We start from the raw sequence: 26,793 nt of genomic DNA, 5'->3' as shown, positions 1-26,793 counted from the left end.
CAAAAAAATCAAAAAGTTAGCTGGGTGTAGTGGTGTACACTTGTAGTCCCAGCTACTGAGAAGGCTGAGGTGGGAGGATCACTTGAGCCGGGAGGTCAAGGCTGCAGTGAGCTGTGATGGCATCACTGCACTCCAGTCTGGGTGACAGAGTGAGACCCTGTCTCAAAAAAAAAAAAAAAAAAAAAAAGATAAAATTGTCTTAATGCTGTTGCACTAAAGGTCTACTTTATCTGATATTATCTTGCCACCCATTTCCTTATTTGTTTTCACTGATGGATCTATGCTCATCCCACCACCTGTTTGTCAAAGCCTGGATCATCTGACTCTTCTAAGTAGAGCGTATCTTTAACTTTTTATTTTCAGTTCAATTTCAAAGTGTCTACTAAAACAGAGTTCTACCCATCACATTTACTGTGAGAACTAGTCTTATTTCTGGCATTACATATTATATTTTGTATTAGTTTTCAAGTTCAAGACCAGCCTGGACAACATGGAGAAACCCTGTCTATACTAAAAAAAAAAAAAATTAGCTGGGCGTGGCGGCACACATCTGTAATCCCAGTAACTTGGGAGGCTGAGGCACAAGAATCGCTTGAACCCAGGAGGCGGAGACTGCAGTGAGCCGAGGTCATGCCACCATTCCAGCCTAGGTGACAGAGCAAGACCTTGTCTCAAGAAAAAAACAAAACAAAACAAAAAACACACCAGGACTATTTTTTGAACTTGACAAAATATTTAAGCTTCTTTAATGAAAATAGAGACCTACGAAAAAGAGAGGTGACAGTCACAAACAGATAGTTCACAATAAAATAAACTACATGGCTGAAAAATGTACAAAGCTGCTCTGTATTAAAGACATATAATCCCAGCACTTTGTGAGGCCAAGGCAGGAGGCTCTCTTGAGGCTAGAAGTTCGAGACAAGCCTGGGCAACATGTGAGACCCCATTTATAAAAAAATAAATAATAAAGACATGAATTAAAACACACCGGGGCCTATGATCTCAGCTTCCTTCCCTAGCAAATGCCCCAGGCCTTCCTACCTTTCAAAATCCACTGACCACTCAGGCTGTACTTCCTACAGGCCAGGCACTGTACCCTGTCCTCTGCCTGAATTCATGCATTTGATCTTCCTTGTAACCCCACAAAGACAATTAACAGAATTTACCCTGCTTTCTAAATGAGGAAACCAAGGCAGAAAGAACTTGAGTAAAATTTAACTGAGGCCTCGTGGCTGGGGAGTGAGAAGGTGGGAGCTCCATAGCTCATGGCCCTAAGCACACTACCACTCAGGCTCCCAGCCTCCCCGTCTGGTACACCCCACCCCAGCCCAGCCCAATGCCCCTGTTCTTTTTCTTAACATCCTTGGCCTGAGGCCCACCTCTTGGCCTCTCTGATCTGTTTGTTCTGTGCAATCTGCCTATGCCCTTGACTGCCCTCTCTGCCCAACCCTGCTAGTTTCTGAGTTCTGGGTGGTATAGGAGTTCAGGAACACCAGTATCCACTCAGTCACTATCCCCTTACAGCTGCGAGCTCATGCTCTCACACCCTACTTCAGTCCCCTCCCACCACTGTCCTCTCTGTGCAGACAAATCGGCCTTTTAATTCACTCCAAGGGATGACTCTGGACTCTTTCAACCTCCTGGCACACAAACTCCTGCAGGCCTGCACTCATTAGTAGCTCCCTTCAAATTCTGAGCTGAGATGTCTTCTCCCTGGTCAAGATGAATCCATATCCCAGTGCCCCACCCCCTGCCTCTTCTCCTCTCAGGTGAGGCCTGAACAGAGTGACCAACACTCTCAGTTTCCCCCTCCTCATCTTGCCCATCCTGCTCTGCTCTCTCACTCCCAAACACACACACAAACACAAATGTAGACCACATCCAAGAGGTCTGCCCAATATCTTATGTGTTACTATCTTGTCCTGATGCTCCTGGCCTTCCCTGGGGAATCTCTCACTGCCTGTGTCCATCTTTGCTCTCTAACCCTGTCCTTCCTTGTCTGGAGGCATCCAAGGGCAACGGCTGAGAACACTCACTTTGCAACCTGCTGTCAAAGTACTGGCTCCATTACCTGCCACTGTAGGACTCTGAACGGGTCTCTTTAACCTCTCCAGGCCTCAGTTTCCTCATCCGTAGACATCTGGAAAAACAGCAAGACCTGCCTTGTGAGGATGCTAAAAGAATTAATTGAGTTGCATTTACAGAGCTTAACATTGTGTTAACCTGCAAAAGGGGCACAACACATGTATTCATAGTGATTATACTTGGACATAAAATTCCCCATCTGTTCCTCATACTGGACCTGTATGGTGGCTGATCTGGCAGAAGTCCCTCTGGCTGCAGGGCTGGGGAGGGAGTTGCTTTCTCTTTCCTTTTCCAGTTTTCTCCTTCCCTGCTTGTGGGGTGACGTTTCCAATCTGCTCCAGGTTACGTGTCCAGCCCAAACCTCCTGGGCTTCCTGCCACTGCCATTCCCTCCTCCACATTCAGCCATGTCACCCACATGCTCCTCAACTCCCATGCAGAGACTGACCAGGCATACCACATCTTCCTTGCACTGTGACTTCTACCCTGGCTCCACGCTGGAAACAGAAACACAGTCTTCCTCCACTCCTTCCTGTCTTTTGGCATCCCTCCTTACACGGAGTCATTTCCACAATCAGATGTTTCCCTACTCCCTTAGACTCTTGAAATCCAACCCCATGCCTTCCTCATTAGCACTGCCTTGTACGGTCCCCATCAAATATCACCCAACACAAATGGAACCCCGATCCCTAACTTACAGGCGTTACATACACATCCCATCCTGTTCACCTCTGTAGTCTCTCTATGGGGTGCACCAGCATCGCTTAACCAGTGCAGGCCCCCAACACCCCAGTTACCCCTGCCCTGCGTGGACTGGCCTTAATCTTCTGTTCACTTGGAAAATACACATGTTCTCTGCAAGGTTCAAGCTTCACGTACCATTGGAAGAAAATGTGTCCACGTCTGGAGCTGGGATGACCTCTGGGGTCCAATAGGCGTCACCTGCCTGGTGCCGCTGTGCCAGGAGGCTCTTGGCTGCCACCTGTGGATAAGCCGCAGAAGATGAGTTGAGGGAGGAAAAAGGAGCCGGGAGAGGCCCGCTGGGTCGGCAGCCCCAGAGCTCCAGACGCCAGCCTGAATCCCCCGCCCCTGCAGCCCTCGACCCAGGCACCCTCTGTCGGGAGGGCCCACCCAGTCCCACCCAGTCCCACCCAGTCCCACCCAGTCCCACCCAGTTCCACCCCTGCCCGTACCTGCGAGGTACTATAAGTTCCCTCCCAGCTCTGCAGCAGGAGAGCCTCCCGACAAGCTCAGACCCAGCCGGGCGCTCCTGCAGGGGAAACCTGACTGGACCGGCCTTCCCCGTCCCTGAGGCCGGAGAGATCCCGATCCCATCAGGCCCCTGCCCTTGCTCGGCCTCGCCGCATGAGGGACCCCCGCAGGCCCTGCTCGTTTCTCCGGCACGCCCAGATCACTTGGGGCGGCTCTGGCCTGGTCCTGCGCTCCGGCCGCACCCGGCTAACAGTGAAACCTCCGAGCCAACCTTGAGGCCGCCAGACTCACCTGCACGCACCGGCCAATGGCGGTGCTTCCGGTGGCCGGCGGACGTGCCCGCGCTCCGCGCAACAAACAACTCCCAGAAGGCCGCGCGCCGGTAGCCGTTGCTCCCACAGGCATAGTCATTGCCGGCGGGAGCATGGGGCCCCGCGGCGGCGGGATGAGCTTTTTCCTGTGTTCGCGACTAGCATTGTGGCTTAGGGAGTTGCTTCCCGCGGCTCTGCTCCTTGCAGCGCCTGTCCCCTCCCCCTTAAACGGGCCACGCTGGTTCTCATCCAGCAACCGAAGCCGAGACTGTGGAGGCGGCGGTCGGCGTCCAGGGCGGGACTAGCGCCTATGGGGCTCGGCGCTGTCATCTCGGGTGCCTTCCCGGCGCCTTGCCCTGCTGGGGAGAGAGACCAAGACTGAGCCATGAGAACAGTCCAAGGCCGTTAACCGGGAGCTCAGGGGCAAGGGCGCCCGCCAACATCTGCGCCTGTGGCAGGGACTCAGGGACAGCCTGGGCGTGGGGACGCGTCCTAGTGATAGAAACAAAGCCCCGGGAGTGCCCTGCTTGGAGCATTCCGAGTGGAAGGTGGAAGCACGCTAACTGGAGGCGATTCGTCCTAGGTGATCGCTCAGTCGAGCCTATTTGGCTTTCTGTGGTAGCTCCTAAGTGGGACAGGGAAAAAAATAGGGAGGCTGGCAGTGACCAAGTTCTGTTTTGTACCTATTGCTGCAGAAGTTGTGGGACAGAGTTCTGTTATTATAAATGGTCTGATGTTCAGTCTCAGTGCGTTGTGGGGCTCAATGTCTGAGACCCACCACCGCCTGACCCGTCCTGGCTCTTCAATGAGGGAGACCACAGGAAACTTTCCTACGAAGGCCAGGTAGGCGGGAACCACTGTGGCTCAGGCACCCTCAGCTCCTGGACTGTGCTTTTGTGTCTGGGGTGCATCTGTGACTAGCCTTCCTTGGCTTGACTGTTTTGTAGCTGACCTTGTCGATAGCTTTACCCAACAGTCATCATCTTTTTACTTGCTTATTTTCATACCTGGCTAGCACGACCCTGCAATTTTTAGATTCTTCCGGGAAATCTAGAATCTAACTCCCTAAGGGAGGATCTTGATGGATTCTAAGCTAATCAGAATGGACTCAAGCTTCTTGCTGTGTGAATTAGGCAAGGATATTCTGGCCAAGGAGAAATAAGGCTGCTAGGGGTTTCCTGGGAAGGTTCCCTCAGTCTTTTTTTTTTTTTTTTTTTTTTTTTTTTTTTGTGAGACGGAGTCTCGCTCTGTCCACCAGGCTGGAGTGCAGTGGTACGATCTAGGCCCACGGCACTCTCCGCCTTCCGGGTTCACGCCTTTCTCCTGCCTCAGCCTCCCGAGTAGCTGGGACTACAGGCGCCCGCCACCACGCCCGGCTAATTTTTTGTAATTTTTCTTTTTTAGTAGAGACGGTGTTTCTCCCTGTTAGCCAGGATGGTCTCGATCTCCTGACCTCATGATCCACCCGCCTCGGCCTCCCAAAGTGCTGGCATTACAGGCATGAGCCACCGCTCCCGGCCGGTTCCCTCAGTCTTAAAAGTGGACATAAGATAGCAATGTGTCTTCTTTTGCCCCTGGACCGTGATGTCTGTATGTGATGTGTAGGACAATTACAAGCACACTGGCACCATGAGGAAGCCACCCCAGGAGGTAAAGGCAACATGCTGAGAATGGCACAGCAGAAAAATGGAAAGAACCAGTATCCATGATGGAATGAATCCTCTTTGTGCCACTGAATCAACATTGCCTATGCTCACCTCAGGGACTTTTCATTATGAGATAATAAATGATCTTGTTTGTTTTTATTATAGAAAATTTCAGGCCAGGAGTGGTGGCTCACGCCTGTAATCCCAGCACTTTGGGAGGCTGAGGCAGGCCGATCACGAAGTCAGGAGATCGAGACCATCCTGGTTAACATGGTGAAACCCCGTCTCTACAAAAAATACAAAAAATTAGCCGGGCGTGGTGGCGGGAGCCTGTAGTCCCAGCTCCTTGGGAGGCTGAGGCAGGAGAATGGCCCTGAACCCAGGAGGCGGAGCTTGCAGTGAGCCAAGATCACGCCACTGCACTCTAGCCTGGGCAACAGAGGGAGACTCCGTCTCAAAAAAAAAAAAAGTTCAAGTAAATAAGAACTTTGATGTTACATTTCTGTTTACTGTTTCCATGTCTGTATCAATAATGGAGTCGTCTGAGGAACAACTTTCCCTACATCAGTGTTTATATTATTCAGTTTTAGGCTTAGTGCTTAAGCTTAGTGATCGCCTTTTGTAGGATTGTGTCATAAGAGCAAAGAATGACCATATATTGTTACATTAAAAATGTTACCTTTGGCTGGGCACAGTGGCTTATGCCTGTAATTCCAGCACTTTGGGAGGCTGAGACAGGTGAATCACCTGAGGTCATGAGTGCAAGGTCAGCCTGGCCAACATGGCGAAACCCTGTCTCTACTAAAAATACAAAAACTAGCCAGGTGTGGTGGTGGGCACCTGTAATCCCAGCTACTCAGGAGGCTGAGACAGGAGAATGGCTTGAGCCCAGGAGGTGGAGGTTGCAGTGAGCCGAGATGGTGCCACTGCACTCCTCCAGCCTGCCTCTGACTCAAAAAAAAAAAAAAAAAAAGTTACTTTTACCTTGATGTCTAAATAAAAGGGAAGAAAATCTTTTAAAAGTTATGGCTGGGCACAATGCCTCACACCTGTAACCCCAGAACTTTGGGAGGCTGAGGTTGGAAGATCACTTGAGACCAAGAGGTTGAGGCTGCAGGGAGTGATGATCTTGCCACTATACTCCAGCCTGGATGACAGAGTGAAACCCTGTCTCAATTTAAAAAGTTCATTGGCCAGGTGCGGTCGCTCACGCCTGTAATCCCAGCACTTTGGGAGGCCAAGGCAGGTGGATCACGAGGTCAGAAGATCGAGACCATCCTGGCTAACATGGTGAAACCCCGTCGCCACTAAAAAATACAAAAAATTAGGCCGGGCACGGTGGCTCACGCCTGTAATCCTAGCACTTTGGGAGGCCGAGGCGGGCGGATCACTTGAGGTCAGGAGTTCAAAACCAGCTTGGCCATCATGGTGAAACCCCGTCTCTACTAAAAATACAAAAAAATTAGCTGGGCATGGTGGTGTGTGTCTGTAATCCCTGCTACTCGGGAGGCTGAGGCAGGAGAATAGCTTGAACCCGGGAGGTGGAGGTTGCAGTGAGCTGAGATTGTGTCACCACACTCCAGCCTGGGCAACAGGGAGACTCCATCTCAAAAAAAAAATACAAAAAATTAGCCGGGCATGGTGGCGGGCACCTGTAGTCCCAGCTACTTGGGAGGCTGAGGCAGGAGAATGACGTGAACCCAGGAGGCGGAGCTTGCAGTGAGCCGAGATCACGCCACTGCACTCCAGCCTGGGCAACAGAGCGAGACTCCATCTCAAAAATAAAATAAAATAAATAAAAAGTTCATTAACAGTTTGACTCAAGAATGAGTTATCTGGTGCCTGACATGATTAGAATGCTGCCTGAAAGGCCTTTCTGCACTGATTATATGCATACAGTTTCTCTCTATTATGAATGATCTGGTGTTCCATAAGGTCAGATAGTCTCCTGAAGGCTTTTTCACATTTAGACATTCATGTTGGCTTTTGCCCATATGAATTTTTTGGTGCATACACAATAATAATTCTGTCTGAAAGTTTTTCCACGTTGACTACATTTATAGGCTTCTCTCCAGAATGAGTTATTTGCTGTTCAATAAGGTGAGAATTCTTGCTGCGGGATTTTCCACACCAGTGACATTCATGAGGTTTCTCTCTAATGTGAAATCTCTGATGCCATATAAGTAATCAGCTCCAGCTGATTTCCTACACTCAGGACACTCGCAGTTTCTCACCGGTATGATTTATCTGATGAGCAACAAGTGAGAACTCTAACTGAACCATTTCCAACACTGATTACAGTCACGAAGCTTCTTTCCAGTATGAGTTATTTTATGTGCAACAAGGCCAGAGCTGTATAGAAAGATTTCCTACCTTGACTACATTCATAAGGCTTCTCTCTATTACACTTTCCCTGATGCCAATTAAAATCAAGGATGTCACTGAAATATTTCTCACATTGATTACATGGAATTGTTTTTCTTCAGTATGAGTTTTCTATTGCCCAATTAGATGAGATCTCCTGCTGAAAGCTCTCTGACGTTCCCGATGTTCCCAGAGTCTTCAGTATACGTCTAACAAGGTGGGAGCACCAGGCTGAAAAACTTTCCACATTGATTACATTCATAAATTTTCTATCTGGTATAAGTTGTGATGTGCAACTAGGTGAGAGCTCCATCAAAAAGATTTACCATGTTGAATACATCCATGGGGTTTCTCTCCAGGATGAGTCCTCCCCCTTTGAGAAAGGCAAGAGCTATAAAAGAAGTTTTTCTCAAATTTATTATAATCACATGAATTATTTTATTTTTTTTTTTGAGTCTTGCTTTGTTGCCCAGGCTGTAGTGCAGTGGTGCGATCTCTGCTCACTGCAAGTTCCGCCTCCTGGGTTCATGCCACTCTCCTGCTTCAGCCTCTGGAGTAGCTGGGATTACAGACCCCCGCCACTATGCCTGGCTAATTTTGTTTTTGTATTTTTAGTACAGATGGAATTTCACCGTGTTAGCCAGGATGGTCTCGATCTCCTGACCTCGTGATCCGCCCACCTCGGCCTCCCAAAGTGCTGAGATTACAGGCGGGAGCCACCGTGCCTGGCCAAATTATTTTATCTTTTAAGATTCTCTGGTGTACATTTAGGGATATACTGGGGGTTGTTTTTTGTTTTTTCCTTTTGGCCAGTAGAGATCTAGTGTTGTTCAAGTTGTCTATATTTACTATAGTTATAAAATTTTCCTCCTGTATGACTTTTCTTCTGAATATTAAAGGGTAAAACATGGCAGAAATAAAGATTATTGTTGGCATGCTTATACAGTTTATCTTTTGTTTGCTTTCTTATTAGATGATTAAGGTGAAGCTCTGACAGAAAGTTGGTACACACTCATTTTTGCACAATTTTTCACTTCCATAATTTTTTTTTTTGAGACAGAGTCTCGTTCTGTCGCCCAGGCTGGAGTGCAGTGGTGCGATCTTGGCTCACTGCAACCTCTGCCTCCCAGGTTCAAGCAATTCTCCTTCCTCAGCCTCCTGAGTAGCTGGGATTATGGGCGCGCACCACCACGCCCTGCTAATTTTTGTACTTTTAGTAGAGTCGGGGTTTCACTATGTTGATCAGCTGGTCTCGAATCCCTGACCTCGTGATCTGCCAGCCTCGGCCTCCCAAAGTGCTGGGATTACCGGCATGAGCCACCGTGCCCGACTATAATTTTTCTAATGATTATTGAAATAAACTTATTTTTCAAACTTTTATTCTGTGAGCCAGGTTTATGGAAATATTATAGTATGAATTATCTGGAGTGGAAAAAAGTTGGAACTCAGGAAATAACAGAAAATTCAAATAGAAGATGACATAGACTCCCATCCTGAAATTAAATCTTATGTTTTCATTTTTGGATGACTCTCGTTTTTGCCCAAGTGCATGCTCACTTTTACATGTCTAGAAAAACTTCATACCTTGTGGCTGGGCTCAGTAGCTCACGCCTGTAATTCCAGCACTTTGAGAGGCTGAAGTGGGCAGACCACAAGGTCAGGAGTTCAAGACCAGCCTGACCAACGCGGTGAAACCCTGTCTCTACTAAAAATACAACAATTAGCCAGGCATGGTGGCGGGAGGCTCAGCTACTCGGGAGGCTGAGGCAGGAGAATTGATTGAATCTGGGAGGCAGAGGTTGCAGTGAGCCAAGGTCATGCCATTGCATTCCAGCCTGGGCAACAGGGCAAGACTGTCTAAAAAAAAAAAAAAAAAAAGAAAAAGAAAAAAAAAAACTTCATACATTGAACCTTACATTCATATTTTCTCTTAACTAATTATAGCAGACATCACTTTCAATTTGCTCCAGCCTACTTCTTCCCCCTCATCTGCACCTCTTTCAGTGTAAAATCCTAGCATTCACCTCCCACACTCTTCTCTATTTCCAAACACAACATAAACAATACTGTAGTAAACACCCCCGGACACCCAGAATTAGTGCCTTCATTTCTATAGGTCAGAGCCCCTCCAGTGGGACTGCACAAGTTGAAGGATAAGTGTATTTTTGATTCTCTTAGGTATTACCAAATTACTTTCCAAAGTGAGAATAATAGTCCCTATTCTTTCCAGCATTGGGTATTATCCTTTGTATTTTGCCAGTATTTTGGGTAAAAGTAACATTTTGTGTAATTTGTATTCCCTAGCTACTTGTGATTTCAGGATCTTTACATATTCTTACTGGTTATTTGAGGTTTTGTTTTCTGTGTTTTGTCTAATTAATATTTTTTTCTTTTTTGGCACTTTATAGGCGTTCATGATAGTTTATCAATGTTAATCTCGTCTGTCATTTGTGTAACAAATATTTTTCTCAATACATAGTTTATTCTCTTTTTAAATTTATGGTATCTATTTTAGCATACAAAAAATTCTTTTTAGGCCAGATGCAGTGGCTCATGCTTGTAATCTCAGCACTTTGGGAAGCTCAGGCAAGAGAATCACTTGAGGCCAGTTCAAGACAGCCTGGCCAACATGGCAAAATCCATCTCTACTAAAAATACAATCATCAGCCAGGCCTGGCGGTGCATGCCTGTAATCCCAGCGACTCAGGCGGGTGAGGCATGAGAATCGTTTGAACTCAGGAGGCAGAGGTTGCAGTGAGCCGAGATTGCACCACTGCACTCCAGCCTAGGTGACAGAACAAGACTTTGTCTCGAAAAAAAAAAAAATTCTTTTTATGTAAAGTATGTTGTCTACTCTTCCTTTATGAATAGATCTGAGTTTTTTGTCTTGCTTTAAAAAGTATTGCAAGCCACAGATTTTATGTTTATGTAGTCTTCTAAATTTTCTTTTGCACTTTTTAAAACATGCAAATCTGGCCAGGTGCGGTGACTCAAGCCTGTAATCCCAGCACTTTAGGAAGCCAGGGCGGGTGGATAGCTTGAGGTCAGGAGTTTGAGAACAGCCTGGCCAACATGGTGAGACCCTGTCTCTACTAAAAATACAAAAATTAGCCAGGGCATTATGCCACGCGCCTGTAATCCCAGCTACTAGTGGGGCTGAGCGGGGAGAATCGCTTGAACCTGGGAGGCAGAGGTTGCAGTGAGCCAAGATCTCGGCACTGCATTCCAGCCTGGGTGACAGAGCAAGACTCCATCTCAAAATATAAAAAAAATTTTAAAAACATACAAATCATTAGTCTATTAGGAATTACTTTTGTTTGAGGTCTGATGCAGGCATCAGCTTACTGGGAAAGCTAGAATTCTCCCAAAATCACTTTTCAAATAAGCTATCATTTTTCTTCCACACATCCATTTGTCAATTCTTATAATAATACCATTCTGTAGCCGGGAGTGGTGGCGGACGCCTGTAATCCCAACTACTGGGGACGCTGAGGCAGGAGAATCGCTTGAATCCGGGAGGCGGGGGTTGTAGTGAGCCAAGATCGCGCCATTGCACTCCAGCCTGGGTGAGGGAGTGAGACTCCGTGTCAAAAAAATAAATCAATAGGCCGGGCACGGTGGCTCACTCCTGTAATCCCAGCACTTTGGGAGGCCGAGGCGGGTGGATCACGAGGTCAGGAGATCGAGACCATCCTGGCTAACACAGTGAAACCCCGTCTCTACTAAAAATACAAAAAATTAGCTGGGCATAGTGGCGGGCACCTGTAGTCCCAGCTACTCGGGAGGCTGAGGCAGGAGAATGGCGTGAACCCGGGAGGCAGAGCTTGCAGTGAGCCGAGATCGTGCCACTGCACTCCAGCCTGGGCGACAGAGCGAGACTCCGTCTCAAAAATAAATACATAAACAAACAAATAAATAATAATATAATACCATTCTGTTGAGATTATAATGACATTTTAATATCAAGCAAGGCCGGTTCCTTGACTGTTATTTTGATTATAATTTTCTTGGCTGTCAGACTGTCATAAGCATTTATTTTTCCTTTTGATCTTTTAAATCATTTTCTTTTTTTTTTTTTTTTTTTTTTGTGAGACGGAGTCTCGCTCTGTCACCCAGGCTGGAGTGCAGTGGCGCAATCTTGGCTCACTGCAAGCTCCGCCTGCCGGGTTCACGCCATTCTGCTGCCTCAGTAGCTGGGACTACAGGCGCCCACCACCACGCCCAGCTAATTTTTTGTATTTTTTGTATTTTTAGTAGAGATGGGGTTTCACCATGTTAGCAAGGATGGTCTCGATCTCCTGACCTCGTGATCCACCTGCCTCGGCCTCCCAAAGTTCTGGGATTACAGGTGTGAGCCACCATGCCCGGCCTGAAGCATTCTTGCATTCCTGAGTTTAAATATACTGTCATCCTTTTGATAAATTGTTGAGTGTGATTTTTTTTTTGTTTTTTTTTTTGAGACGGAGTCTCACTCTTGTCGCCCAGGCTGGAGTGCAGTGACTCCATCTCAGCTCACTGCAACTTCCGCCTCCCGGGTTCAAGCAATTCTCCTGCCTCAGCCTCCTGAGTAGCTGGGATTACAGGCACCCACCACCACGCCTGGCTAATTTTTGTACTTTTAGTAGAGATGGGGTTTTGCCATGTTGGCCAGGCTGGTCTCGAACTCTTGATCTCAGGTGATCTGCCCACCTTGGCCTCCTAAAGTGCTGGGGTTACAGGCATGAGCCACCACGCTTGGCTCTTTTTTTTTTTTTTTTAAGACAGAGTGTTGCTCCATCACCTAGGCTGGACTGCAGTGTTGTGATCTTGGCTCACTGCAACCTCTGCCTCCCGGGTTCAAGCAATTCTCCTGTCTCAGCCCCCCGAGCAGCTGTGATTACAGACGTCTGCCAGCACACCCGGTTAATCTTTGTATTTTTAGTAGAGATGGCGTTTCACCATGTTGGCCAGGCTTATCTCGAACTCCTGACCTCAGGTGATCTGCCCGCGCCTCAGCCTCCCGAAGTGCTGGGATTACAGGCATGAGCCACTGTGCCTGGCCCTATGTTCTTTCATCCCTCTGAAATTTAACTTTCTGTATGGTATGATGGAGGTCTGACTTAATTTTCTTCCAGACAACTATATACTCTCCCAGCACATTTTCAGAACATTCCCTCTTTTCTGGATAACTTAAAAATGGCTGCTTTATCATATGCCACAAATGCCATCTCTACATAGCTTTGTTGCATTGCTCTGTCTCTGTCTGCTCCAGGGTCACAGTTTTAATTACTTCAGCTTAACAATACACACTTTCATTTTGGTAAGACATTCCGTACATTGTTCTTCCTGTTCAAAATTGTCTTAACTTCTGCCATTTTCCCCTTGTAGATGATGATAATGATGATGATTTTGAGATGGAGTCTCACTCACTCTGTTGTCCAGCCTGGAGTGCAGTGGCATGATCTCGGATCAGTGCAACCTCTGCCTCCTGTGTTCAAGGGATTCTCCTGCCTCAGGATTCTGAGTAGTTGGGACTACAGGTGTGCCTGGCTAATGTTTGTATTTTTGGTAGAGAACGGATTTCTCCAGGTTGCCCAGGCTGGTCTCGAACTCCTGACCTCGAGTGATCCACCCACCTCAGCCTCCCAAAGTTTTAGAATTACAGGTGTGAGCCACTGCGCTGGGCCTTTAACCAACTGTATTTAACTCACGTTTATTTTGGCAAGTAAATAACCAAAAGGCCCCACCCCCCCACCCCTCTTTTTTTGAGACAAGGTCTCCCTCTGCTGGCCAGGCTGGAGTGCAGCGGTACAATCACAGCTTACTGCAGCAGCCAACTCCTGGGCTCAAGCGATCCTCCCAAGTAGCTAGGACTACAGGTGTGTGCCACCATGCCCAGCATTTTTTTTTCCCAGATATGCAGTCTTGCTGTGTTGCCCAGGCTGATCTCGAACTCCTGGGCTCAAGCGATTCACCCGTCTGGGCCTCCCAAAGTGCTGGGATTACAGGCCTGACCCACAGGGCGCGACCCAAATGATCCCTTTTAAATCAGTTTATAAATTTTGAATTTTAACGCATGGATTTAAAAAAATTATTCAGCAGGCCGGGCGCGGTGGCTCACGCCTGTAATCCCAGCACTTTGGGAGGCTGAGGCGGGCAGATCACGAGGTCAGGAGATCCAGACCATCCTGGCTAACACGGTGAAACCCCGTCTCTACTTAAAAAAAAAAAAAAAAATTAGCAGGGCGTCGTGGCGGGCGCCTGTAGTCCCAGCTACTCCGGAGGCTGAGGCAGGAGAATGGCGTGAACCCGGCAGGCGGAGCTTGCAGCGAGCCGACATGGCGCCACTGCACTCCAGCCTGGGCGACAGAGTGAGACTCCTTATCAAAAAGTAAATAAGTAAATAATAAAAATTATTATTCAGCAAATAAGACTGAGGATCCTGGATATGGCAAAACACAAACTGGTGTAGTAAGCATCTCGATATTCCCCCTGCCGGGCGTGCCTAGAGATGCGTGGTCCCGGCAGAGCTACTCACATTTCTTTCAAGTTTCTGCTCAGGACACAGCTCGAGTCCCCCAGCACCCCTACCATCATCACCACTACCACAGCTGAGTGATGCGCAGCCCAACCCTTCACCAAGAGTCCGTGGCCAGGCCAGGCTGGGCGTCTAGGACCGGCAGGCGCTGGGCCATTCCCAAGGTGGGAACGGGATGCTTCTCACCTGTGATTGAGGACCAGGCCAGCTCAGCGCTTGTGCGCCTGAGCCTAATGAGGAGACCCGGGCGGGGCCTGGCGGTTGCACAGACCAACGGCTCCCTAGGGCCCCAATCCCCTAGGAGCCTGTGACCACCTGTCTCCAGTCTGGGCTCTCACTGTTACCGGAAAGGGAGTCCCGATCCAGATCTCAAGAGAGGGTTTGTGGATCTCATGCAAGAAAGAATTCAAGTCCAGTCCATAAAGTGAAAGCAAGTTTATTAGGAAAGTAAAGGAATAAAGAATGGCTACTCCATAGACAGAGCAGCCCCGAGGACTGCTGGTTGCCCATTTTTATGGTTATTTCTTAATGATATGCTAAACATCGGGTGGATTATTCACGCCTCCCCTTTTTAGACCATATAGGGTAACTTCCTGACGTTGCCATGGCATTTGTAACTGTCATGGCCCTGGTGAGAGTGTAGCAGCGAGGACGACCAGAGGTCACTCTCATCGCTATCTTGGTTTTGGTGGGTTTTGGGCGGCTTCTTTATTGCAAGCTGTTTTATCGGCAAGGTTTTTATGACCTGTATCTTGTACCGACCTCCTATCTCATCCTGTGACTAAGAATGCCTTAACTTACTGGGAATGTAGCCCAACCGGTCTTAGCCTTAGTTTAGAGAGTCCCTATTCAAGATGGAATTGCTCTGGTTCAAACACACCTGACACTACCCCCCAGGCCGAGGACGGGGTCCCCAGGGGCAGGCGAGCCTCCACAGATCCGGGGCCATTCATCTCTGCAGCGGCCGCAGCCAGCCGCCAGGGTGCCCTGCTCCCAGGTGTAGCCAAAATGGCCCTGAGTCTGTTTCCACCAGGCCCGGGAGCGAGAAGAGGCGCAAGACGCTGATTGGGCCAGGCACCGGCACACGCAAGTAGCGGTATGGAGGAGGCAAGAATCTGGTTGGGCAAGACAAGGAACTAACCGGGCAGGCGAGACGCTGATTGGATGAGGCAGGTTGCTTATTTGCCAAAGCGTGACTCTTACCCGGCAACGTGTGTCGCCGCTTGATCGCAGCGGTGCGGTGATTGGGTAGGTCAGTTCTGGCGGGCCGCGCGCGCGGGCTTTGGGGACGTGTCGTTTCCGGCCTCCAGCGTGAAGCCGACTGTGGGCTCTGGAATAGTCGGCGGTTGTGTGTCCTGGTGCTCGAAGCTTAGCCGGGCGACGCTTCGGGAGAGAGGCAGAACCAGCCTCCCAGAGTTGTGGGCTCGGCTGGATCGCGACTCCGCCATTAACCCCTCCGCCAACGTCCCCGCTTGTCGTCCTCCCTCGGGCCCTGGTCAGCCTCCCCAGGGCCTGCAGCCTTTGACGCACTTCGAGGTGGAGACCTGGCCTTGGAAAGTACCCGGGGAGCCACTCCGTAGCCTGTGCAATGAGGATGGACCCTCCTCACTCGGACCCATGCTGGCCATGCTGAATGGCCCCGCAAATTCTCGCGAGCTGCGAGGGAAGGTAAAATTTCGCACAGCATCAAATACCACAACCCCGAGTGTGGTTTTACACCTTAAGAAAGAAAGATCACACTATTGGAGGGTAACTTTTGTGTGGTACAAATGTCAGTTATTTTGTTTTTGGATGCACTGTAGTCCACGGAGGCATTTTTTTTTGTAAGCATTACACCCCTAGAAAAAGAATCCCAGGATTTTCCCTTTTGTGTATTTTTGTCTTGCTGCTTCGTGGTCCATGATGCCGGCTGAAGTCAGTACAATGAAACCAAACTGGCAGGATGGAAGCAGATTATTCTGCCGTTTTTCTAGAACTTTGAGTACATCAAATCTGGGGCTGATCATTCCACACTTGTTTAACATGCCTGTGAGGTTCACGACAATTTCCCCAGCTCTGTGATCATCAGTGATGTCAAATTTACCAATGTAACCATGCTTCATCATCACAATTAGAAACCGGAGAATGTCTTTGGAGCACCTCCTAGTAATAATCTGTCTTTTGCCTCTCTTCAGCATTGTTGATCCTCTTGAGAACATCAGACAGGATATTCATCCGCACCTTGACGACGGCACCAAAGGATGGTGGAAAGAGAGATTTTTAAAAAATCAAATCTTCTGTTACTTTGTATTCAGAAGAAAACTATGCAAAGATTAACATAAAATTAAAAGTATGGAAATCCAGATTTTAGTAAAACCTATTAAAATTAATCAGAGTTTGCTCAACTGGCTAGATCCAGGATACATAGTCTCTGCATTAAAAATCAGCCACAAAGGAACAAAGAGAACAAAATTACTTTTTAATCCTTCTTGGTAAATGATACAGACACTCTTGTTGAACAAATAAGTGGATGTGCTGGAATTAATTGGTCCCACTCTTTGGTTCATTCTTGAGAGGTGATATTGTAGAGTTCTGAATGGCTGAAGAGGCTGTTTTTACCAACATCCCTGGGCAAGTTCCTCAACTGCATGTGTTCTCAAAGAAGCTAACATCTTTGTAACCTCTTTTTACAATTTTTAAATTTATTTTTGAGACAAGGTCTCACTCCCACACAGGCTGGAGTGCAGAGGTGCTATCATAGCTCACTGCAGCCTCAAACTCTTAGGCTCGAGCATTCCTCCTACCTCAGCCTCCTGAGTAGCTGGGACTACAGGTGCATCACCACACCTGGCCTTTTTTTTTTTTTTTTTTTCCAGACAGGATCTTGCCATGTTCCCCAGGCTGATCTCTAACTCCTGGCCTCAGATGATCCTCCCAGAGTTCTGGGATTACAGGCGTGAGCCACTGTGCCCAGCGTCATGTACCTTTTCACTGGTGTACTGGATATATGGAACGTGGACCCTCCAGGCATTAATCTTCTTTCTGACAATCACAGACCCAGTGAGGAGCAGAGCCAGGATTTAAACTACATCTAATAATTGTGTCTAGTGGGTCAGCTCCCACATGTGCAGCCTCTCTCCCTGCCTTCCTCTTCCTGTCTTGCAAGCACAGGTGGGGATACACAGTATTTAAAGGTAAATGCTGGCATACTTGTAGACCTTTTTAACCAGAGTTGGCCACCACACTCTCCTGCCTTTCTTAACCTTGGTACTCTCCCTTCAAGAGATGGAGTTTAACCCCCTTCCCACTGAATCCGGCTGGCCTTAGTGACTGGCTTGTAAAGGATAGACTGTCCTGGGGTGACACCATGTGACCTAGGCTGGGTCAGAAAAAGCCATGCTGTTTCTGCCTAATACTGTTGGAACCCTGGCTCTTTGGATGAGAGAACCTAACACAACTGAACTCAGCCTTAGAGCCACCTCAAGCCCAGGTGCCAGCCATGAGATGAGCCATTCCATACCTTGGAATGGACCCACTGGCCTTGTACTTTGTAGTTCCAATCAGCTCTCCCATACCCTAGTATGTTCTCCCCCTTTCCTATTCCTGGGTCCCTTATTTTCCCAGACCCAGCTCAAACCATCATCTCAGTTCCTGAAGCCATCACTAAAACTTTGGACTCACCCCTCAGTCTAGGATTTGGAATCTGGGAATTTTTAGTTTACCAGGTTCTAATCTCAAGGGTCCCATTCTTTGGTTCATTCTTGAGAGGTGATATTGTAGAGTTCTGAACAGCTGAGGAGGCTGTTTTTACCAACTAACGTCCCTGGGCAAGTTCTTCAACTGTGTATGTTCTCAAAGAAGCTAACATGTGCCATATTAAAGTGCTGAAATGACTAGAAGCAACATAGCAACCACAAGCCCTGTGCCCAATGTGTGAATGGCAATAGGGCTGCTGGTGTACCACCATCATTCTCCAGGCACATGGGCTCAAGGTATCTACTCTGGTCCTGTCTCCAAGGGTTTTTCACTTCTGCAGAGAAAGGAGGTACTCTCATCCTAGATGGCACGACTGCACCTCACCCTTGTTGGCAAGACCCAAGGGTTCTAAAGAGGCTATGCAGAGTAGCACTCAACCAGTGTCTTGAACCTAAGTATTTTTGATCCAGAGTTTTATGTTAAATGTTACATGGAACTCAAGAGCAAAGGTGGAGCCTAGAACAAGGAATGGAGCGGGTCATATACTGTGGGCTATGTGACCTGGAGAAAGAATGTGAACTGTGGGCAAGTACATGCTCTAGTATTGCCAGTGTCTTTTTGCTTAACTTAGTGATGGGCTCCTGGCCAGAGCAGTTGCCTTCCTTGTGATAGTCTCTCAGGAAAAATGGAAACACAAACCAAATGAAGCTAGGCATGGTGGTGCATGCCTATAGTCCCAGCTACTTGAAAGACTGAGCCAGGAGGATCTTTGAGCCCAGGTGATCCTTTGAGCCCAGGTGTTCGAGGCTACAGTAAGCTATGATTCTACCTCTGCACTCAAACCTGGGTGACAGGATGAGATTCTGTGCGAAAAATAACAAAAGAAACATGAATATTCCCAGGAAGCCCCACACTTGCCTGGGGTTTCCAGCCCTTTGGGTTTAAATTTTCCTTACCTCCACCTAACCATATCATGACAACCCCCTAAGGAGCAGAAAGATTCAGTCATCCCAACTCACATAGTATCTTGTGCCCAAGGTGCTGCAGCCTTGCACAGAATCTTCTAGAACTATCTGATGATCTCCTTCCTTGTGTTTTAATGTTGCTTAAATATTAATCATTACTATAGAGATATTTAAGCAGGCAGGAAATACACAGGTTCTACACAGACATAGATCAATAGTTTATTTATCCACATTATCTTTTAATCCTTAATTCATACACATAAATACTGTGGTACTGTGGATGTAATATCAGTGCAGATTATTAATTACCTGGCTTTTTAAAGTTATTATATAACATTTTCAGATTTTATTAATCTCACTTTTAATGACTAAATGAGTGAACAAACAATATCAAGTGAATGGGAAATCTTTTTTCCAAATGATGTTAATAACTCCTCACTCATTTTCTTATTTATTCATTATGTGCTGGGCAGTCTCCTCAGTTGTCCTTTGGTTTTGGGAATGTCCTCACTCAATACTTCCCTTTCACATTCAGTCCTGATTCACAAGCAGGCCTGTGCATGTTATATTGCAGGGTCAAGCTGAAAAGGCAAGGTTTCTTCAACTGGCTTGAGAGCTATGAGGTAGGCTGTTTCTTCTTTCGCTTTGTCCTATTGTGGGTTCTCTGGTGCCCAATAAGGTGTGAGCTCTGGGTGAAGGCCTTTCCACATTTGTTGCATGCATATGGGCGCTCCCCGGTGTGAGTCCTCTGATGTCTGATGAGGTGGGAGCTCTGGCGGAAGGCTTTTCCACAGTCCTGACACTTGTAGGGCTTAGCGCCAGTGTGAGTCCTCAGGTGCTGGGAGATGGCTGAGCGATCATTGAAGGTCCTCCCACACTCCTGACATTCAAATGGTCTCTCTCCAGAATGAACTCTCTGATGCTGTGTGAGGGAAGAGCTCTGAACAAATCCTTTCCCACAGTCTTGACACACATAGGGCCTCTCTCCGGTATGGATTTTCTTATGCACAGAAAAGTATCTTGGGTTCCGGAATATTTTACCACATTCACTGCATCGGCAAACTTGGCTCCCCTTGTGAATTCTTATAAACGTAATCTGTTTAGTACTCCGACTGAAGGTTTTCCTACAACCATTGCCTTCCTTGGCCTTTTGCCTTTCACAGCTCTTCTGATGAATTTTTACACGTGAATTATGTTTCATACTTTTAACTTGTGAGTCACGTTTGCGCAATCGTTTTCTAGGAGGAATTTTGTGGAGCAAAACTTGGTTTGTGTCAAGAGCGCCACTGTTTGCCTGGGACTCAGGGTTGTCAATTTTCTGGAGCGAAACTTGGTTTGTGTCAAGAGCACCACTGTTTGCCTGGGACTCACGGTTGTCAAAGTGCTTCTTCTGAGGAAGGTCTTTTTCCTGAGCAGACTCCATCTGCTTCAACACTGTGTCTTGGACTTCCTGGACCCCACCCTGCAAGGTATCTTCTAATGTAGAGGACAAGGCACAATCCCTTGAGGATTCTTGTACTTTCAGGCTGGGGGCTGGTTCTTCCTCAGGAATGTCAGAATTTGGAGCTAACTCTTTATTTTCCAGTGTAGTCTCCCACCCTGAAAAAAATAAACAAAAGATGTGGATCCCATAGAGAGATGTGCTGGGATGGGTCTGAGAGCATGAAATGCATAATTAAGTTCAAAAGTCAGGATTTTTTTTTTCTCCCAAATAGAGTCATGCAACCTGGAGAGAGACTGAAAAGCAATGAAGCGGCAGGGAGGGGAGCACTGACCTTGGTGAACAAGGGACAGGAAGGGCAGGGAGTGTCCTCCGAGCTCTTCGAGTTCCTGTTCTCTCATACTCCCTCAGGAGATAGATAGCAAATCACTCCTTCACCGGACCTAAGGCTGCTTCTGGCCACCCAGTGACCTCACCCCTCTAGGTCTACAGTTCCACTTACAGGCCCTGGATGCAGCAAGGGCCCCTTGAGGGAATGCCCAGTGTGGAGTCTAGAGAAGGTGAACACCCCTGACTTGGGGCTCCTGTGGCCTACCAGCCCTGAGGTGGGTGAAGAGGGGGCACAGCCTTACCCACAGAGACCAGGTGCCCAAAGGTCTCCAGCATCACATCGCGGTACTCGGTCCTCTGTGTCGGGCCCAGCAGCCCCCACTCCTCCCGGCTGAAGTCCACAGCCACATCCTGGAAGGTCACTGGCTCCTGTAACATCACATATGTGTCTATGCTCAGCAAGAGGGTCAGAGGGTTGTCAATGAGGGCAGAAGAAAGGCCAGCTGGGAGGTTCTGACAGAGCTCACGGTGCTAGGGACTCTCCTGCTTTGGGGATTTGCTCAGAGACACCAACCCAGGGCCCACAAGAGTTCTACTGGGTCCAAACCAGGGTCTGGGTCTCAGGCTGGGAGGCAGAGCCCTTGCTTCATAAAGAGCTCCAAGTGCAACAAGCAAACAACTCCATCCTAACCACGGCTCTATCCAGCTTGCCCATTGCTGAAATCTTCCCACTGCAGAGGGTTCTCCATCTATTAATACTGTCTTCCCACTTGGTGGAAATGACAACCAAGCCCCTGCCTTTGTCGACAGGGCTGACCTGGGGGAGGGCAGTCACCCTGGCACAGCCATGACTGGTCCTTTCTGGGGAACTGACCAGGACTTTGGGAAGAAGAGGTACCCCCAACGCTGCTTTGCCAGGATCTGAGGCATTTTGCTTACATGGGGCAGAATCTGCCTAAGAAGAAAGGGGAGTGGCCACGCGCAGTGGCTCACACCTATAATCCCAGCACATTGGGAGGCCAAGGCGGGTGGATCACCTGAGGTCAGGAGTTCGAGACCAGCCTGGCCAACATGGTGAAACCCCGTCTCTATTAAAAATACCAAAAATTAGCCGGGTGTAGTGGCAGCTGTCTGTAATCCCAGCTACTCAGGAGGCTGAGACAGGAGAATCACTTGAACCTGGGAGGCAGAGGTTGCAGTGAGCTGAGATCGCGCCATTGCACTCCAGCCTGGGCAACAAGAGTGAAACTCCATCTCAAAAAAAAAGAAGAAGAAAGGGGAGAAAGCAGAGCCATGAAACAGGTTGGCCAGAGATTCTTCCCATCACCTGGGAGCACCTGGATGCAGCCTTGCCTGAAGCCTACCAGAGAATACATGAGAGCCAATAAATTGACTTCTACGCTTGAGCCAGTATAAGCCATTTGCAGTGCAAACAGGTCTGACCAATGACACATACATACCACTACCCCAGTGGTCAGCGCATCAGGACCAATCTTTTTCACCCACACCCCAGCTCTGGGTTATTCTGAAGCAAATCCCAGATACCAAAGATAAATACCTAAGTATGCATTTCTGAAGGTTGAGGGCTCTCTTGTTCTGACCTGGATACAGATGTGCCTGCCTGTGGTAGTTCCACCTCTCAAGTCTCTGTAAACACTTAGTCCCTTCCCTCTTGCCTCCTGCTTTCTCAGCTCCCGGGTCACCATGCGTTGTCTCCAGTGATGCCACAGTGGCTGGAGGGCAGGGCTGCTCTTCATACTCAGATTGCTTCAGCACAGACCTAAGAGCTCAGAATCTCAGAATGTCCCAGCCTGTGGGAGGTCTTAGGAAAGCCCAGGGCAGAGTGGATGCCTCAGGGGTGGGCCTGCCTCACAGGAGATGCTGTGACCAAAACAGGGTGATACTCCCCGCTTACCTCAGGGAGCACTGTCACTGGGCAGATGGCTGCATCCTCCTGCTTCTCCTCCTGCTGGGCAGTGACCTCGAGGCAGCAGGTGGTGCCCTCGGCAGGTTGTCCTGCAGGAAGTACTGGGAGGAGACACCAGCCAGAGGAGGTCAGCAGGTGTGGGGACCCTTAGGCAGGGCAAGGGTGGCCTCTCTGCAACCCATGGGGCCACCGCACCCCTGCATCGTACTGTGGCTCCATGACAGCCTCTGCTCCTGTCCTCCCTTCCCACCAGCTCTGCTCCCCTCACAGCACGTGCCCGAGTGCCCACACCTGGATGGGCCCGGGATGGCTCACCCTCCAAGGGTCACAGGGCACCAGTGTCCTCACTGCTGAGACTCTGGTCCCACTCCTTCCCTTTCCGGGGGCTGCTGAGGGCCCCAGCCCCTCCTGTGAGGCAGCTGACTGACGCCCCCTCCTTAGAGTCAAAGCCCCTGTTTCCGGCCTCCAAGCCCTGCACCCTGCCTATTTGGGCACCTCTTCCTTCTTCCCTCTCTCCTCCCACCTCATGGAAGGTGAGACTTTCCCTGGACCCATGAAATGCAGCCATCTTGAGGTGAACGTCACCAAGTCTCCTCCACCTAAGAAAACAACAGCTCCACCTGGCCCAAGGGCCCCTGTAACCACGGCTCCTTCATTCTAACCTTCCTCACATGACCCCAAATGGTCCACAGGCTTCCACAATGCTAATCTACCCCCACCATCAAGGTGGGCCACAAGATGACTTAGGCTGGCACACTGGACCATCCCTTTCTCTTGGCCACAGTGATTAGATCTGGGATGAACACAGCCTATAGCCAGATGATTGGAGCCAACAAGGCCTTAGTTGGAACATTTGGGAAAGAGAAATCCCATGCAGGGAGACAGCCTGCCCATGATGAAGCCAGTGGAGGGCAGAAGAGGTAAGAATGAGGGACAGGACAAGTCTGGAGGACACTATTGGAGCTCCTGGGTCCAGCCCTGCCTGATGCTCGAGCACCCTGGAACTTTTCCAATAAATTCTCCTTCTCCCTTGAGCCATTCTGTGCAAGGCTTTGCAGCAGTCACACTCAAGCGTCCCAACTAACACACTGATCACATAATGTGAGATTCTCAGGGTTCTCTGGAAAGCCTCTTCCCATTGTCTTCTGTGGCACTAATTTATTTTATTCACCCCTGAGGTTAAACACAGGGTGAATTCACTGACTTTCACCTCATTAACCCCACAACTGTCTCCTTGGCACCTAACTAACTAGTTTCCTATTGCTGTTATAGTGAATTGCCACAATGCCAGCGGCTCAGATTAATGCAAATGTATTACCTTATGGTTCTGGAGATGAGAAGTCTGGTTTGTGCCTCACTGGGCTAAAATGAAGGTGTCAGCATGGCTATGTTCCTTTTGGAGGCTCCAAGGGAGAATCCATTCCTTGCCTTTTCCAGCTTCTAGAGGCTGCCCCAAACATTTGGCTTATGGCTTCTTCCTCTATCAGCTGCTCCTATCATTACATCTCCTCTGACCCTCCAGCCTCCCTCTCCTAAGGGCCCCTGTGGTTATGTTAGATCCACTCAAATAATCCAGTGCATCTCTCCCTCTCAAGATCCTTAATTGTTTCTGCAAAGTCCCCTTTGTCATGTGAGGCAACTTATTCACAGGGTCCAGGAGTCAGGACATGGACACCTTTGGGGCAATTATTCTGCCAAGTACAGCACCCCAGACTTGGTGCATCTGACACAACTCATGCAAGTGCCTGCCCTGCTGCCTCGGATACCCGATCTCCAGGATGCCCTGGCCTCTTAGAATCCCACCATCCCCCTGCAGGATACCTTCCCCTTTCCTGCAATCACAAACATCAACCAGTCAATCATTCGTTCACATCAGAAACATCTTCTGGGCACCCGTGAAATGTGGAAAATGGAGGTGAGCAATGCAGAAGCATGCACGCTCTGTGAAACTCAGCCTGATGAAGAAACCAAGTCTTGCAGTCTTATTCCCAAATACACACTCCACACGTGTAGTCTCTCCCCAGTCAGACATCACCATCACTCCTATCCAAGACACCACCCCATCAGAGGGCATGGCAATAGCTGCGGGTAGCCTGTGTCCAGCCTCGCCCCCATCCTCTGTCCACCATCCACCACACATGCAGCCTGGTAAATCTCTAAAGGTCAAATCCAGTGGTGCCACCAGTTTCTGGAACTCAGGGATCGAGCCCTACTGTTTTAGAAGAACATTTTGCTTTGCTTTAGGACTAAAGTCCCCACTGGCAGTGCCAGCTCCAACCTCTGCTCCCTTCCATCACAAACATAACCGATTTTTCTGAGTTTTGCATTTACTGTGATCCCTTCCATCTTGGCCCTTACAGGCAGTGCTCCCCTCTGCATGGCACATCTTTCCTGCCCCCTTTCTTTACCCTGGCCAAGTTCCACTCCACACCAGGTGTCAGCTGCAGACCTTCATAAGCCTCACCATCACCTCGAGCTCCTCATAGTCCCAGCATTTTTCTATGCATTCTCATTTGTCAAATCCCTGTCTCTCCTGCTACTGCGGGCTCTCTGAGCTCAGTATTCCCATCTATCTTATCAAGTGCTACAGGGCTTATGGTGCAGCAGGGATGCCAGAGGGATAAAAATGAAGCACTTCATCTGTGTGCTTCCATCAGAAGCCCACGAAGGGCTAAAGAATGCAAGGGTTTCAGTGGCTCTGACTCAGGAACACGTGGGCAACATGGATGTCCTTGGTCTGTATGGAGCGGACACAATCCTTCCCATGACCTTCCTAGGAAGCCTGGAGTTCTTATCTCCCCCACAGGGTACTCCAAGACACCCTCATTAAGCTGTCCCTCTACCCACCCTTCTACTTACCTTCCTCCTCAGACATCCAGGTCACACCCTCTACCAGGGCCACCACCTCTTGGCAGTTCTCTGGGTGCTGCGATTCCACCCATGTCCGGAGCTTCACAGGCAGTGCACCTAGGAACTGCTCCAGCACCAGCAGCTCCAGGATCTGCTCCTTGGAGCGTGCCTTAGGCTGTAGCCACTGGTGACACAGCTCTCGGAGCTGGTCCAGGGCCTCCCGGGGACCTGTCATGTCCTTATAACGGAACTGCCGGAACCTCTGGCGCGCGGCCTCAGGGTCACCTGGATGCTTGCCCTGCTGTTGGACCTGCTCACTGGGGGCATCTGCACTCAGGCTTCCATCTTCAGCATATAGGGCCTGGATCTGGGCATTCCGGGGACCAGCCACCTCCTGGTTCAGTGTGAGGACCTCAACAACCTCAATGTTCATTAGGGGACTCTCAGCAGGAAGAGGATCCAATTTAGGGTCCAGCTGGAGCTCAGGATACTCTGTAAGTCAAAAGCAGAGCAAGACAAATGAGAACAAGCACATGAAAAGATGCTCAACGCCATTATTCACTAGGGAAATGCAAGTCAAAACCACAGTGGAATATGCTTCAAACCCACTAGCATGGCTGTTACCAAAGACAGATGATAACAGGAGAGGATGTGGAAAAACTAGAATGCTCACACACTGTTGGTGGGAACATAAAATGCTGTACCACTCTGCAAAACAGGTTGGTAAATCCTCAGAAGTTAAACACATAGTTATCCATGACCCAGACATTCCCCCCAAGTATATATAGCTAAGAAAATTGAAAGCATATGTCCCCAAAAACTTCTATAAGAATGTTCACCAAAGTGTTATCCATAATAGCCAACAAGTACAAATAACCCATTGTCTATCAACTGAGGGATGTATAAGCAAATTGTGATCTAGTCATATAATGAAATATTGGCAATAAAAAGGAATGAAGTACTACTAATATATGCTACAACACAGGTGAAACTTGAAAACATCATGCTAAGTAAAAGAAGCCAGACACAAAAGGCCACATATTATATGAAATGTCCAGAATATAAAAATCCACAGACAGACAAGTAGATTAGTAATTGTTAGGAAATGGAGAAATTGAGAGGATTGGTGGGAGACTGCTAATGGGTATGCGGTTTCTTTCTTGGGTGAAGAAAATGTTCTGGAATTAGACAGTAGTGACAGCTGTACAACCCTGTGAATATATTTAAAAACACTGAACTGTACACTTTACAAGAGTGAACTTTACAATGTGTGAATTATATCTCCATAGAGCTGTTATAGGGAAAGAACAAAAGGCAATGAGGGTTGAGAAGGGATCTGTGACACTGTACATGTATGCATGGTCACAGGAAAAAGAACCTTCTCCAACCTCCACTGGGGACAAGAACGAGGATATATGGGAAAGGCAGGGGCTCTGGGTCCTGGCACAGAGTCCACAAGAGCACATTGCTA

The 26,793-nt window shown here is 48.5% G+C and overlaps 2 protein-coding genes, 1 long non-coding RNA gene and 2 pseudogenes across 74 annotated transcripts in view, besides 1 other annotated feature; 1 reads left to right on the top strand and 4 right to left on the bottom strand.

Annotated features, from left to right (window-relative positions):
- Positions 1–3,620, bottom strand: part of ZNF544 (zinc finger protein 544) — a 48,542-nt gene extending 44,922 nt beyond the window's left edge. For 30 of the 60 annotated variants that reach the window (NM_001387399.1, NM_001387425.1, NM_001387418.1 and 27 more), the window contains exons 1-3: positions 3,588–3,620; positions 2,964–3,066; positions 2,072–2,140 (exon numbers count right to left, since the gene is read on the bottom strand). The gene's annotated coding sequence lies outside the window, so the exon portion shown is untranslated. Of the gene's footprint in view, positions 1–2,036; positions 2,141–2,963; positions 3,067–3,277 lie in introns of all 60 variants that reach the window. The other 30 variants (NM_001387416.1, NM_001387419.1, NM_001387400.1 and 27 more) reach the window with 4 other exon arrangements.
- Positions 2,918–3,744: an enhancer, noted in NCBI's record as "H3K27ac hESC enhancer chr19:58740156-58740982 (GRCh37/hg19 assembly coordinates)". NCBI's record gives its function as "activates a minimal SCP1, AML or CMV promoter by ChIP-STARR-seq in primed H9 embryonic stem cells {active_cell/tissue: H9 hESC(primed)}" and the evidence as "EXISTENCE:reporter gene assay evidence [ECO:0000049][PMID:30033119]".
- Positions 7,177–8,028, bottom strand: LOC100419847 (zinc finger protein 436 pseudogene; annotated as a pseudogene).
- On the top strand, positions 15,713–16,500 carry LOC105372479 (uncharacterized). Its single transcript, XR_936125.4, has 2 exons — positions 15,713–15,802; positions 16,309–16,500. It is a non-coding gene; the product is annotated as an uncharacterized LOC105372479 (long non-coding RNA).
- Positions 15,923–16,387, bottom strand: RPS15AP36 (ribosomal protein S15a pseudogene 36; annotated as a pseudogene).
- Positions 16,501–18,971: 2,471 nt separating the features above from the next.
- The window catches only part of ZNF274 (zinc finger protein 274), a 30,502-nt gene continuing 22,680 nt past the window's right edge, over positions 18,972–26,793 (bottom strand). For 8 of the 13 annotated variants that reach the window (NM_001278734.2, NM_133502.3, NM_016325.4 and 5 more), the window contains 4 exons: positions 25,332–25,814; positions 22,461–22,573; positions 20,848–20,974; positions 18,972–20,373 (listed from right to left, as the gene is read on the bottom strand). In NM_001278734.2, the coding sequence (NP_001265663.1) occupies positions 19,391–20,373; positions 20,848–20,974; positions 22,461–22,573; positions 25,332–25,814 (1,706 nt within the window). In that variant the 3' untranslated portion in view covers positions 18,972–19,390. Of the gene's footprint in view, positions 20,374–20,847; positions 20,975–22,103; positions 22,574–25,331; positions 25,815–26,793 lie in introns of those variants that run through there. The other 5 variants (XM_047438078.1, XM_017026175.2, XR_001753589.3 and 2 more) reach the window with 4 other exon arrangements.

The sequence above is a fragment of the Homo sapiens genome, chromosome 19 (assembly GCF_000001405.40).
Source record: "Homo sapiens chromosome 19, GRCh38.p14 Primary Assembly".
Classification (NCBI taxonomy): Eukaryota; Metazoa; Chordata; class Mammalia; order Primates; family Hominidae; genus Homo; species Homo sapiens.
The sequence above is the reverse complement of the archived record's forward strand: the minus strand, read 5'-3'. Positions and strand labels throughout refer to the sequence as shown.